Genomic DNA, 13,997 nt, shown 5'->3' on the forward strand with positions numbered 1-13,997 from the left:
AGATCTGGCATCAAGTAATTTAAGTTCCAAGATCAGTAATTTTTGTGGTTATTTCTTACTGGATTCCATTAAAGAGGTCCCATATCAGAAGAGTTGCCTACTTGTGAACAGATTTGCTACAGTGAGGAACATTCAGCTTAAATACAGCATTCTAATCTGTTTCATTTTTTATTTTTTAGTTTTTGAGGCAGGGTCTCACTTTGTTGCCCAGGCTGGAGTGCAGTGGTGTGATCAGGCTGACTGCAGCCACCTCCCAGGCACAAGCGATTCTCCTGCCTCAGCCTCCCACCACTGCCTGGCTAATTTTTGTATTTTTAGCAGAAACAGGCTTTCACCATGTTGGCCAGGCTGGTCTCAAACTCCTGTCCTCAAATGATCCACCTCCCTGGGCCTCCCAAAGTGTTGGGATTACAGGCGTGAGCCACCGTGCTCAGCCAGCATTCTGCATTTCTGAAACATTCATTGTGTTTTTTGTAGACAAAGATAAATAAAATAATTGGATTAGTAGAGTCTTGAAGGCCATGCTGATGAATACAGATTTCCTTTGGAGACGTGCTTTAGCATTATGGCAAATGTGTTTTAAAACTCTTAACAGAGGAGCAATTCTCTCTCTTTTTCCGCAGGTATCTGGAATTGGCACTCGTAGAATCTCTACAGAAGGGTCTGCAAAGCAGCTACCAAATGCTTATTTTCTGCTTCCAAAGGTCCAGAGCATTCAGCTGTCTCAAATGCAGGTCATTTTAATAGATTTACTTTGAATGCTGGTGGCCACCAAACTTTGTAACCTTCTCAGAATTGGTTATTTTACTATTTTCTGCTTTTTGAAAAAATTATATAGAAGTAATATACATATATAAAATATCAGTGGATTCCACCTAACTTCTTTTTAATGGCTGTGGAGTTCACAGTGTTGATATTCCAGAGTTTGCTTAATCTTATTGTTGGTCTTTTGAAATGTTTCCTGTTTTTCACTGTTATTACCGTTAGGCCATATACCTATTTTATAAGTTTCTTTAATTTTCCTTCTGAATCCTCTGTTTCCTTGGGGCATGTTTCATAAAGAGGAGAGATTCTTTAGTTAAAGACTGTGAACGATTTTGTAGAGCTTGTTAAATCTTACCAGCTTGCTTTTCAGGGAGGCAGCCCCCATGGTCACAAGTAATAACAGGCCCCTAAGGATGTCCTGCTTTTAGCCCTGCCCGGATGGGGCTTGGTGGGAAGAACTATTTCTGATGTTATAGTAGATGTATAATGATAAGTTTAAATTCTTTTAATATACATTTCATGAATCATTTTATAGGGTTGGCTACTTTTTCCCTTTGATTATCCATATTTCCTTGTAACTGGATAATTTTATAATTGAGAAAAGCTCTTGAACCAATATATTATGAAACTTACCTCTTCTTTCTGATTGGTAAATAAAGAACATTGCTTAGAATTTGTAGTCAGTACCATTAGTACCTGGGGCTTTCATTCATTCAGCGGTTTTCCTGAGCCTCTGCTTTGTGCCAGGCCTTGGTCTAGAGTTTGTATCTGCGTAGAGCCTACATTCCAGTTGGGGAGAAGAACCAAATTAATTTACCTCTAGGATTATATCTGGAATCTTTATCACCAAGTACATAATTCTTAGGGATCTTAAATCATATTTTTATTTTTATAAAATGGAAAAGCCCCTCCTTGCAGAATTTTAAGGAAGACTTCTTTTAATTTGCAAATTTATATTTGGTTTAAATCCTAAAACCAGGGGGCATGTGTTGAAAGGTTTTAAGCAGGAGACTGATACTGATGTGCTGTGGCTTGCATTTTTGGAGGGCCAGATGCCTCATCAGTGGAGATCTAAATATTGGAATAGAGACAGGTATTCAGAATACCTTAGTTATTGGGGGTTAATGTAAGGATAAGTGGAATGAAGGGAGAGAGGAAACTGACTCTGCAGGCCTCCTAGAGAGCTAGAACAGCGTACCCATTCTCTCATCCCCCTGGCCTGGCAGATCCTGCGTACTTCTCATGATGCCCACTGCCCTTTACCACACCCAGGACATCCTCATCTCTCTGATGGCCAACTGATAGTATCCCATTAACTGCCAGGATCTACTTTAGTCCCTTCCTACCTCTTTCCAAAAAATTCAAGTTGGACCCCATTAGTCCCCTGCTTGAAACCCTTCAGTGCATTCCCATAGGTCTTAGAATTTAAACCAAATCCCGCTTATGGCTGTAAGACCTGCGTGGTGTGGCTGCTGTCTCTCTTCAGCCCCAGTGCTCACCACCTGTTCTTGGTCTCTAGTTCATGGCCACAAGAGCCTTCCCCCGCTCACTTGTGCAATGCCGTTTTCCCTCCTGCCACAGGTCCCTTGTGTCTGCAATGTTCTCAACCTCCACCTCCAATTTTCTCCAAATTAACCCTTATTTCATCCTTCCTTTTTCAACTCACACTTGAGCTCTTCAGGGACTTTTGCGTCTCTCCCCATCCTAATTTCTGCTCCCATATTTATCTAGACTTCCGCTCCCATACTTATATCCATTAAATAATCACATGCCCACATGATGTAATTGCTTCACTATTCTTTTCATCACCCATGGAATGGAAGCTCCATGAGAACAGGGACCATCTGATTGAGCTTCCCGTTGTACTCCCTGCACCTCACCTGGGAAGCAGTGGTTGAGTGGAGTTTTGGCCTGAGGTAGCTCTGGGGCTGTCCTCACAGGCCACGTCTCTGTCTCTCCCTGCACTGTAGCCTACCTTGGCAGTGCCTTGGCTTTTCTTGGTCTTTGTTTCTGCTTCAGAAGATACCCAAACTCTGTTTCTTTTCTTTTTTGTATTTTTAAAATGTATTTTGTAAACAGTGTTATGAAATATAATTCACATACCACAAAATCTGCCCACTTAAAGTGTACCATTCAGTGGGTTTTAGTATATCCAAAGTTGTGCAGCCCTCACGATCACTGTCTAATTTTAGAACATTTTCATTGCCTCAGTCTCTTACTTTCTGTCTCTAAAGATTTGTCTATTTTGAACATCTTATATAAATGAAATGTATGGTCTTTTGTGATTGGCATCTTTCCCTTAGCATGTTTTCAGTTTCATCCATGTATTTCATTCCTTTTTATTGCAAATAATACACATTGTAGGATATGCCACATTTTGCATAACCATTCATCAATTGGTGGACATTTGCGTTGTTTCTACTCTGGCTATTATGAATGACATTCTTGTGTAAGTTTGGGTGGACATATCTTTCATATCTTTTCTCTTAGGTGTATATTTAGGAGTGGAATTTTGCTGGGTCATATGGTAATTCCATGTTTAACATTTTGAGGAACTGTAAAACTGTTTTCTAAAGTGGTTGCATCATTTTACAATCCCACTAGCAATGAGGATTCCAGTCTTCTACAACTTTGCCAACACTTGTCTTCCATTTTTGTTTGTTTTTTAAATAGCCATCTTACTGAGCATGAAGTGGTATCTCATGTGGTTTTGATTTGCATTTTTGTAATGACTAATGACATGGAGCATCTTTTCATGTGCTCAGTGGCCATTTGTATATCGTCTTTGGGGAAGTGGTTGTTCATATCCTTTGCACATTTTAAAATTGTGTTTGTCTTTTTATTGTTGAGTAGTAAATGTATTAAATTCTGGACATTGGACCTTTATCAGGTACATGGTTTGCAAATATTTTCTCCCTTTCTATAGGTTGTCTTTTCATTTTCTTGATGATGCCCTTTGAAGTACAAAAGATTTAAATTTTGATGAAGTCAAGTTTTTCTGTTTTTCTTTTTTCACTTTATGATTTTAATATTATATCTAAAAAGGCCTAATGTTGTGAAGCTTTACTCCTATGTTTTCTTCTAAAGTTTTATAGTTTACATTTAGGTTTATGACCCATCCTCACTTTAAGTTTTAGCATATGGTGTGAGGAAGGGATTCATTTTCATTCTTTTGCATGTAGATGTCTGGTAGTTCCAGTACCATTTGTTGAAAAGACAGTTCTTTGTACATTGAATTGTCTTGGTATCCTTGTTGACCTCTCATCTGTGGCCCCATTCCTGGCTCTAGATTCTCTCCTTCATTTTTCATTTATCCAAGGATCTGTGAGTTTAGTTAAGTCACTTTCTAAGGCTGCTCCTTTTGCCCATAGTTCTCTCCCATTAGTCAAAAATAGTTATTGAACATTATTTATTGAGTGTTCCAGTAAATGATAGGGCAATGAACACACACAGTGTCCCTACTCTTGTGGTGTTACGGTATAAAATACTTCAGAGTTTGTAGATGAAACTTAATTTTTTTGGCTGGTCTTTTCTTAGAAACCAGTATTTAAAAATCTGAATATCAAAAAAAAAAAACCTCTTAAAAGTCAGTTATTTTAATTTCTTTCACTTTTACTGTGATTTAAGAAAATAAATTTTAAATTTTTTTTTTTTTTGAGGCAGAGTCTTGCTCTATTGCCTAGGCTAGAGTGCAGTGGTGCGATCTCAGCTCACTGCAACCTCCGCCTCCTGGGTTCAAGCAATTCTGCTGCCTCAGCCTCCTGAGTAGCTGGGACTACAGGCATGCACCACCAAGCCCAGCTAATTTTTGTATTTTTAGTAGAGACAGGGTTTCACCATGTTGATCAGGCTGGTCTCAAACTCCTGACCTCGTGATCCGCCCACCTCGGCCTCCTAAAGTGCTGGAATTACAGGCATGAGCCACCGCACCCAGCCTAAAGTATTTTTTAAGGCTTGCTATACCTAAAAACAAAAACTTAAAAAATTTAAACCTAAGAAATAATTGTGGCATTCCTCTAGAAGAAAAAAATCTTGACTATAATATTTCTGCATCTAAATTGCATACATTATGTGAGTTATTTCTTGTATTTTAAGTGGCTATAAAGTTGTCAACTGTTCTTAGAAAGGAATGTCTTTATTTTGATATTCTACGGGTTTTATGTTTTTTACTCTCTGCCTGTTGTCAAGAGCCCATTGTCCAGGGTTGGGGAGTTAGTGGATTGAGGAGGTCAGACTTCAAAGAGGATAAGAGGGTGTGGAAGGTACCAAAGGCATAATTGCCTCTTCTCCAGTATAGAGCTAGAAAGTATATCTGATAGAAAGCTAAGCAAGAAGGTTTAGACAGAAATATGTCATCAGCTTTTCTTTAACTTGTTCCCTTAGTGCCATGTGAAGAGAAAATAACTCTGTTTGGTTTAGGAATAAAATTTGAAATTGAGAGAAGAAATACTGTTGTTTTATGTACGTCAGTTGAATCATTATGAAAAAGAAAACTGAGACTAAGATGATAGTAGTAATTTAAAAGTATTTTCACTGAAACAATAGGGCCATCTAATTTTTAGATTTTTATATGTGAGTGGGTAAAAAGTACAGGCTGATTATATGTTTGGGTCTGCCTTACATATGGGTCTAAATATGGATTTTAGTATAATTCATTGAATATTTAAAAAATTATCTGGCTTCAGCATAGGCAGAGGGTAGAAAGGCATGTACCCAAGGATCCCTGAACATAAATAGTCTGGAAGGTGAAGGTTCCAAAATTTGCAGGTACTGCTTGACTCATCCATCTGTGAAATGCTGATCAGAGAAGGAAAAACAGCAGGAATATTTTATAAAACTGTGGAGCATGGATTGTAAAATGGGAGATGTGCTTGATGTAGTATGTTGAGGACACATAATTCAAATGGCATTTAAAAGATCGTTATGAGTTATCTGTTGCAAAACTTGAAATTTGGGTTGCCAGAATAATCTCAGAAGGTAACTGATCTTTTGCTGCTGCAAACTTAGCAAAATTCAATCATGAGAAAGGAAAGCAGTGAGAAAACGGATATGTACCCTTTTTTTTTTTTTTTTTTTTTTTTTTTTTGAGACAGGGTCTCGCTCTGTCACCTAGGCTGGAGTACAGTGCTACTGTCTCAGCTCACTGCGACTTCAGCCTCCTGAGCTCGACCCGTCCTCCTGCCTCAGCCTCCCGAGTAGGTGAGATCACAGGTGCATGCTACCACGCCCAGCTAATTTTTGTATTTTTTGTAGAGACAAGATTTTGCCATGTTGCCCTGCCTGGTCTCAAACTCTTGGACTCATTGATCCACCCACCTCGGCTTTTCAAAGTGCTGGGATTACAGGTGTAAACCACCACGCCTGGCCTGGATGTGTGATTTTGTGTGCAGCGTTGTGATATACACGAACCACGTGTGGTATTTCTCTTCACATTTATTACAACACTGCACACAAAGATATGCATTCAGTTTTTCTTATTCCTCCCAATTCATATGCTGAGTTGAATCCTCAATGCAATAGTATTAAGAGGTGGGGCCCTTGCGAGGTGACCAGGTCATGAGGAGGGGCCTTCATGAATAGGATTGGTACCTTTAATAAAAGAGGCCCAGCCAGATGCGGTGGCTCACACCTGTAATCCCAGCACTTTGGGAGGCCGAGGTGGGCAGATTACCTGAGGTCAGGAGTTCAAGACCAGTCTGGCCAACATGGTGAAACCCCGTCTCTACTAAAAATACAAAAATTAGCTGTGTGTGGTGATGCATGCCTGTAATCCTAGCTACTGGGGAGGGTGAGGCAGGAGAATTGCTTGAACCCGGGAGGCGGAGGTTGCAGTCAGCTGAGATCATCTTATTGCACTCCAGCCTGGGAGACGAGCAAAACTCCGTCTCAAAAAAAAAAAAAAAAAAAAAAAAAAAGGCCCAAGGGAGCTTGTATGCCCCTTCTGCCATTTGAGGACATAGATGGCACATAGCAGGTGCCATCTAGGAGGAACCAGCCCTCACTAGAATCTCTTGGTACCTTGATCCTGGACTTCCCAGAACTGTGAGCAATAAATTTCTGTTGTTTATAAACTACCTAGTTTGAGGCATTTTTTAATGGTTGACCATGTGGACCAAGATAATAGGAAAACATGGAGTTAAGATTGCTTTTTTAAACCTTGTCATTTGGTCCTTCTTTTTTATTGTTTTGACCTTCATGCAGAGAGAATTCCTAGTGATGAAAGTCACTGTCGTGGTGGGTCTGAATGACAGGCTGAGGCTCTCCTCCTTTTGTTGCATTCTTCTTGTTGTTTGTCACTTGGTTTTCTTCCAGTCATTCTCTTTCTGCTCCAGTTCACATGTCACTCTGCTGCTGGTGATGTCATGTTACACAAAACTGTTTGTTAATTCCCTGGCCACTGGATTAGCTGAGCCCTCTCTTGTTTACAGGATAAAGTCCAAGCTCCTTTGCTTGGCATACAAGGTCCTTGATAACCTGGGACCAGCTTCTCCCTCCAGGCTCAGAGCTTCTACCCCTCTTTTCTGAACTCTGGCCTCACAGACCTTTCATCATTCCCGGAACATGCCATCCCTTTTCCACAAGCTCTCTTAGCCTCATAAGCTTTTATCCCATTCTAATTATTCTTCTAATTCCATCCTTCAAGACCCAGTTCAGATATCGCCTCTCTGGCACCTCTCCAGGTTCCCAGGCAGCCTGTGCTCGAGGTCTGCATGCCGCTTGGTCCACACCCTGCCTTAATGCTTAGAGTCTTGGATGTCTCTCTCCTGCTCTTCCATGAAGCTCTGCAGGAGGGACAGGGCCTGCTTTTTCATTATTATAATCTCTATCAATTTCGTGTTTAGTGCATTGAGGACTCCCAGAGTTTTTAATAGATAAATGAGTCAATGGGCATCTGAGTTGAGATCCCCAAATAGCATATCTACTAGTCATAACATCTAAGATTTGTATAACTTCACCTTTTCACCACATCAACCAGTTTGACCTTCAGCAGATTTACTACCGGGGCAGGTGGTATTATTCTTATTTTAGAAATTATAGAATGGACTTAGAGTTTAAGTTACTTGGTGAAGGTTGAGAGTAGAGCCAGTGAATGATTATTAACTTTTTGTAATTTTTGTAATAAGGGCACATTTTGGTCCTTGGCAGTGCCAGCTCAGTATGCTTTAAATTTTTCCCAAATTTAGTAAATGCTATATTGATTTTCATATCTATTGCTTTAGTAATCCATGATCCAGAAAAGATAAATGCAAATACAGTGTTCTCTGAAGCATTTTTATTATGGCTAAAAAGAAGATGCAACTTAAAGTCCCAACAGTAGAAAAAGAATTTGATAAATTTACGTATATTAACATAGTAGAATATTAAGTAGTTCTTTGAATTATAATTATGATACCTATTTGGGAATGTGTGACAAGTATTAAAATTAGACTGCGATTGTAACTAAATATATGGCGAGGTTTATGTTGTGTTAGGCTCATGAGAAGGCAAGAAATTTTATTATTTAAATGTTTTCTCCAGTAATGTATTGGATTCAAGCCATTGAGATTTGGGGAGTGTTTCAGTGACTTATTTGGGCAAAACAGAATATTTGAAATTGGCATTGTCTCAGAATCTGGCATTTAGGATCATTAGCCATATACTTTGTCTGAAAGATTGAAAAGAACTTAAATTATTATTATTGGAATCATTGTAAATAATGTTGTTGTTAAAAATGTGATTATAAGACAATGTGGGAAACTTTTTTTTTTTTTTTGAGACAAGAGTCTCACTCTGTCGCCCAGGCTGGAGTGCAGTGGCGCAATCTCGGCTCACTGCAAGCTCCGCCTCCCAGGTTCACGCCATTCTCCTGCCTCAGCCTCCCGAGTAGCTGGGACCACAGGCGCCCGCAAGCACGCCCAGATAATTTTTTGTATTTTTAGTAGAGACGGGGTTTCACCATGTTAGCCAGGATGGTCTTGATCTCCTGACCTCGTGATCCGCCCGCCTCAGCCTCTCAAAGTGCCGGGATTACAGGCATGAGCCACTGTGTCCGGCTGAAACTTGGTTTTAAAGTTAGAGGAAAACCCTGACACAGAGTTCTGCCAAATAAAGGTAGTTTTGTCTTTGTGTGTGAGTGTGAGTGTGTGTGTGTGTGTGTGTGTGTGTGTGTGTGTCTCAACATAGTATCAAATTATTGAATTGTCTAAGAGATTTTCTCTTAAGGATATTTTGGGATTATCAGAAGGTATAATGTGATTATAAGAAAACATGGGAAACCCAGAGAAATGAAACATTAGAAATAAACCTTAAGACCACAGTCATACTTGGCAATGATCATCACAATTAATAGTTGGTTGTCTCCTTGCAGTGTTTTTTCTAAGTTTATGTGTGGATGAGAGATTTTCTCCCCTGCCATGGCAACATGTTGCTGGATTGTGTACAGGAGAGATTATCTCTGGATATTCTGTGTGATATCTAATACATTTCAGACCAGGAATTCCTAACCTTTTAAAACTGGCACAGCCCTTGCTTTCAGCGTGTGGTGTCAAACCCTCGTGCCCGCCTGCCAGGGACAGGTGCTGGGCAAAGGTTGCGGTCCCGGGCTGCCTACAGCGTGGTGCCTGCTAGATTTGGCCTGGGGTGGGTGCCTCAAGTTGTTACCTGCTACTTGCCTTCTAAGGTGCTGATCCCTGTCAATTAACGTGGCAATCTAGAAGGGAAGCTGTAAAATCAGGGTAAGGAGGAGAACGTGGAAAGCCTTTCAATCACAGTTTGATGAGGAAATGGAAAGGGGCACATTTCTCCCTAACAAGTTACAAAATACCTGATCTAGGATTTGAAGATGGAAAAAGAGATAACAGAGAAAGGTTAAGGGTCTTTAGAGCTGTCCCATTTTCCTGATAGTCTTACATAATTAGTTAAATGGAATAAACAGTATTGTGATAGCTGAGAATTCCTACAAATACCTGTGTAAACATAATGTATTTAGTAACATTTTGTTGTAGTTTTAGCAGTACACCAAGATGTAACTGTTTTTTGTTGTTTGAGAGAACACCTGGAGTTTTTTGTCCTACCTCCAAGAGGATTAAGGAGCACCACATGAAGGTGAGGTTAGAGTGAAAGTTTAGTAAGTGAAGCAAGAAAGCTAGATTTTTTTTTTCCCCCAGGCTTTTTTTTTTTTTTGAGACAGACTTTGGCTCTTGTCACCCAGGCTGGAGTGCAATGGCACGATCTCGGCTCACTGCAACCTCCGCCTCCAGTGTTCAAGCAATTCTCCTGTCTCAGCCTCCTGAGTAGCTGGGATTACAGGCACGCACCACCACACCCAGCTAATTTTTGTATTTAGTAGAGATGGGGTTTCACCACGTTGGCCTGGCTGGTCTCGAACTTCTGACCTCAGGTGATCCTACTGCCTGGGCCTCCCAAAGTGCTGGGATTACAGGTGTGAGTCACCAAGCCCAGCCCCCAGGCTGCTTTTTATGTTATGTGGGAATAAGGCACCAAACTTTGAACTGGGGGCTCTCTGGAAATCCTTCCCTTGCTATCTACCTAAGGCAAGCTAGCACTCCTTTCAGTTTCTTTGAGTGATAAAAGTTGTTTGATCTTTTTTACATAAAAATGATAGGCTGTCAATCTCTGGAAAATGATTATATGTTAAGGGGAAATTAAGTGATGTTGTACATTTACTTATCTACCTACTTCTGAATATAGCTTTTTTGTTTGTTTGTTTTAAAAGGAATTGCTTAAACTTCTAAAAATTTTCTTAAGTTTCAAGTGAGAATGCTTCTGTGGAATGGGAACTTGGGAAGAGGGGAGGTAGAGGAGGGTTAGTGACTGGAAGAAAGGAGGGGCGCGTCATGAAGACTCTAGAAAGAATACCAAGATGTGTGAGTGGGGGTGTTCTCCCTCCCCTCACTTTTGTTTCAGACTCAGTGGAGTGTCTTCACGCTCCGTCTTCCTCCTTGTTTGTGCTTTAAAATCTCGGCTTTCTTGGCTACTGTGAGGACACAGTTTCCTGGTCCCTCTTTTAACTCAATGTTTACCTTGTCTCTTTTTATTTTTTTGCCTCCCAGGAGAATTGACTAGTTCCTTACTGAAAACCCTAAGAGATCCCTGCTGTAGCAGCTATAATACTCAAAAGCTTTTGTTTTTATGAATTTTTCTGTACTAGATTTAACCCCTTAAGAGCAAGAATTATGCCCTAATCTTTGTTTTCCTATTACCTGGCAATATAACATGTAGTAAATCAATGATTGACAACTGGATAAATGAATCTTAAAAAGGAAAACATTATAATAAGCTATTTATGAAGATATGACACACAGACTTTCCTTTGACTTCCTTCATTTATTCTATTAGAGTACTTTAGAAACTTTTGTTAGAAGACTTAGAGATACCTAATAAATAACACCTCTCTTCCTGACCAAGTTCTGAATCATTGGATATTTAAGAATCTGGAGTTAGAGAACTAAAACCGGCTTTGTATTACTGATAAGACATATTCTCCTGTATCAGCCAGGGTAAGAGAGCCAGGAGTTACTAACTCCTTCTCCCCTAGGGTAGACTTTGGGGTGGCCCACTGGAGGGGAAGTTTGGGTCTGAAGGACAGATGCTTCCCAAAGTGTAGAGAGGAGGAGGAAAGAAACCAACTCCTCCAAGAGCCCCTGCCCTTCTCACCCCTTCCTACAGCACAGGATGCTTCTCTGTTGCCCACCAATTAGGTAATTCCTTGACCTCCAAGGAGAGAGGAAGGCTTGGGATAAAAGGACAGTAGTGTTTAGGGAAAGAGAAGCCTCTCATTGTGACGTCCTTGGTTTCTGTGCTCTTGACCCTTTGGAATTACCTGTTAAGCCTGAGATCAGCCGATTTCCAGCCCTGTGCTTTCACCTTCTTGGACCTGTTCCTCCTTCCCCTGAGAGCCAACCCCTCCCCTGATTTCTTTGTTGACCCTCCTCGGACTGCTGGGGTCTGCTGTTGAGTTTGCCCCTAGACAGCTTTGAGATGGATTAGATAAATTCACTAATAATCTGCCCCAAGGCCACACTGTAACCAGGGTTGAAAGTTCACATCTTCCTCTGTTTCCCCATCCCAAATTCTTTTCAACTGCAATATCCGGTACAGTTTATCAGAGCTTTTGTGATGCGATTAAATAACAGTGTTAAAATATGGCAGTAGAAAATATCAGCCATATAAAATGCCTGTCATAGAGATGCATAGTGGGAGTGAATAAGAGGGTGAATTCCAAACCAGACCACCTGGCTAAAAATCTTGGTTCTGAGTGACTGTAGCCAAGTTACCTAATCTCCCTGTGTCTCAGTTTATCTGTAAAATATGTAATAATAGCCCTTTCGGATAGGGTTGGTGTAGCAATTGAATCAACCAATTTATTTAAAGAGCTTAGAACTAGTCTCTGGCACATAGCTGAAATGCCTTAATCACTTAACTTTTAAAAAGAACCTTCTGAATATAAACCCTCTTCTATTATGAAACTCCGGGAGAACTTTAATATTCAGAGATTAGAACCCCCAACGGGACATGAAAGTTCAAGGCTATGGTAGTGTATCCAGTTATCTTGGCCTGTGAGTTAACATTCAAAGAATTTGAAGTCCTCTTCAATTTCTTGTTTTTATTTTATTTTATTTTATTTTTATTTTAATCAGAAGTTCTCCATGCCTCTGTGCAGCTGGGGAACTTTTAGTAGCTACAGGCTGGATTTGTTCTTGCTAGAATGTGCGTGGTTTCCCCACGGTTTCAGAATTTATAGTGGTTCAATAGTAAGTCATTTGAGCCTCACTTGAATCTGCAATCTTAATGAAACGCACAAGAATAACAGATTATTAACTTCACATCCAAAAAAATTGGAAAACGTGTCCCCCCACTTCCCAGCCCTCCAAGCACTAATTTTAAGCAGAATCGTCCCTAGTACTTCGATTTACCAAAGAGAGGGAAGGAAGTTGGAGAGAGCCTCACCTTGGTTTCCGCTTGAATTCATGCTGGTTGTGGAGTCTCAGACCTTTGCACTTAACGCTTGGCAGGGAGAGATCACCATTAGTCAGGAGGCTAATCTGGGTACTTTGGGGGTTAGAGAGGAGCCACCTGTGCATACCACTGCTCTACTCAGGAAGGGGCACCTGAGATGCTCTGGCCTTCCCTCAGAGTTTATAAATTTGCCTGGCGGTAGCCGACATACTCGGCCTGCCTTCCTTCTGTTTTCCATGTGTGGATTTCTGTTTCTTCCTTGGGCCCTTGTTTCTGGCATCTCCCGGCACTTTTGTGCTAGTGGTATGGAAGCTGTGTTAGGAGCAGAGCTTCTGCAGTCTGTGGGCAGTGACGTTGAGATCTGTGCACAGGGTGGTTTCCATTGCCTCTCACTGTGGACTTGCGGGGGCTTCTGAAACCTGCTTCTTAGGGAAGTTTGTTTCCTTTTTGTCCACTTATTTCAACTGGAGTGGTGTTCTCAGCAGATGCCCTGAGGTGAGCAGTTGTTGACACTTTGGAAGTGTGAGTCCATCAGGGCCTAGTGGTGATAGTTCCTTCTTTTTCTGTGTTAGTCGGCTGTTCCCCCAGGACTTGCTTGTTCTCCACTGTTCAATTTAACCAGCTTTTTGTGTTGCTCTCTTTCTTTTTAAATTAGTACATTCCTTTAATTTTTTTTTAACTTTTTGGTCTAGATATTTATTTTCCCTTTAGATCTTTCTCTAGATTTTTTTCGGTGTGTTCTCCCAAAGCAAAAGAGATAAAATCAAGTTCTGGGTCTACTAAAAACATCTATAGTTCAAACAAATCTTTTTTCTGTTTGTTGCGTTGCATAATCTTACATAAGAGATACTCTCCTGTCAGCCCAGTATCCCAGTCAGGCCCAGGCTCGGTTTATCTTGTCCTGCCTGGTTCTCCTTTAATGGTTTCCTCTTTGCTGTGCCTTCTTTTGATTGAGTCCTAAATGCCATAAACTTCTCAAGCATATTCCCTCAGGGCACAAGCAGTAATTGTATCTCCATTGAAAAATGCACTGAGCATTCCACACTCACCTTCCTGGTTTCCTTTCACCTGTCCAGGTTTGTGTAAGGCTTGGTGTAGCCGCCTCAGTCTTTGATGGTAGAGCTCCTTAATTGTTTACTATGGGGGATTTAAGTGTATTTCTTCACAGTTCCTAGAACTCAATCATGGTTTCTTAATTATTTTTATTTTTACTTTTGTTTTAAGACAGGGTCTTGCTCTGTTGCCCAAGCTAGAATGCAGTGGTGCAGTTACAG

At 40.6% G+C, this 13,997-nt stretch overlaps 1 protein-coding gene across 41 annotated transcripts in view, besides 1 other annotated feature; it reads left to right on the top strand.

The window, feature by feature from the left end:
- The window catches only part of TMEM131L (transmembrane 131 like), a 170,352-nt gene that overhangs the window by 91,275 nt on the left and 65,080 nt on the right, over positions 1-13,997 (top strand). For all 41 annotated transcript variants that reach the window (XM_047449899.1, XM_011531780.2, XM_047449901.1 and 38 more), the window contains exon 7: positions 624-734. In XM_047449899.1, the coding sequence (XP_047305855.1) occupies positions 624-734 (111 nt within the window). The remainder of the gene's footprint in view (positions 1-623; positions 735-13,997) is intronic.
- Positions 3,419-3,558: a silencer, noted in NCBI's record as "silent region_15764". NCBI's record gives its function as "represses an Ori minimal core promoter by ATAC-STARR-seq in GM12878 lymphoblastoid cells {active_cell/tissue: GM12878}" and the evidence as "EXISTENCE:reporter gene assay evidence [ECO:0000049][PMID:35858748]".

The sequence above is a fragment of the Homo sapiens genome, chromosome 4 (genome assembly GCF_000001405.40).
Source record: "Homo sapiens chromosome 4, GRCh38.p14 Primary Assembly".
Lineage (NCBI taxonomy): Eukaryota > Metazoa > Chordata > Mammalia > Primates > Hominidae > Homo > Homo sapiens.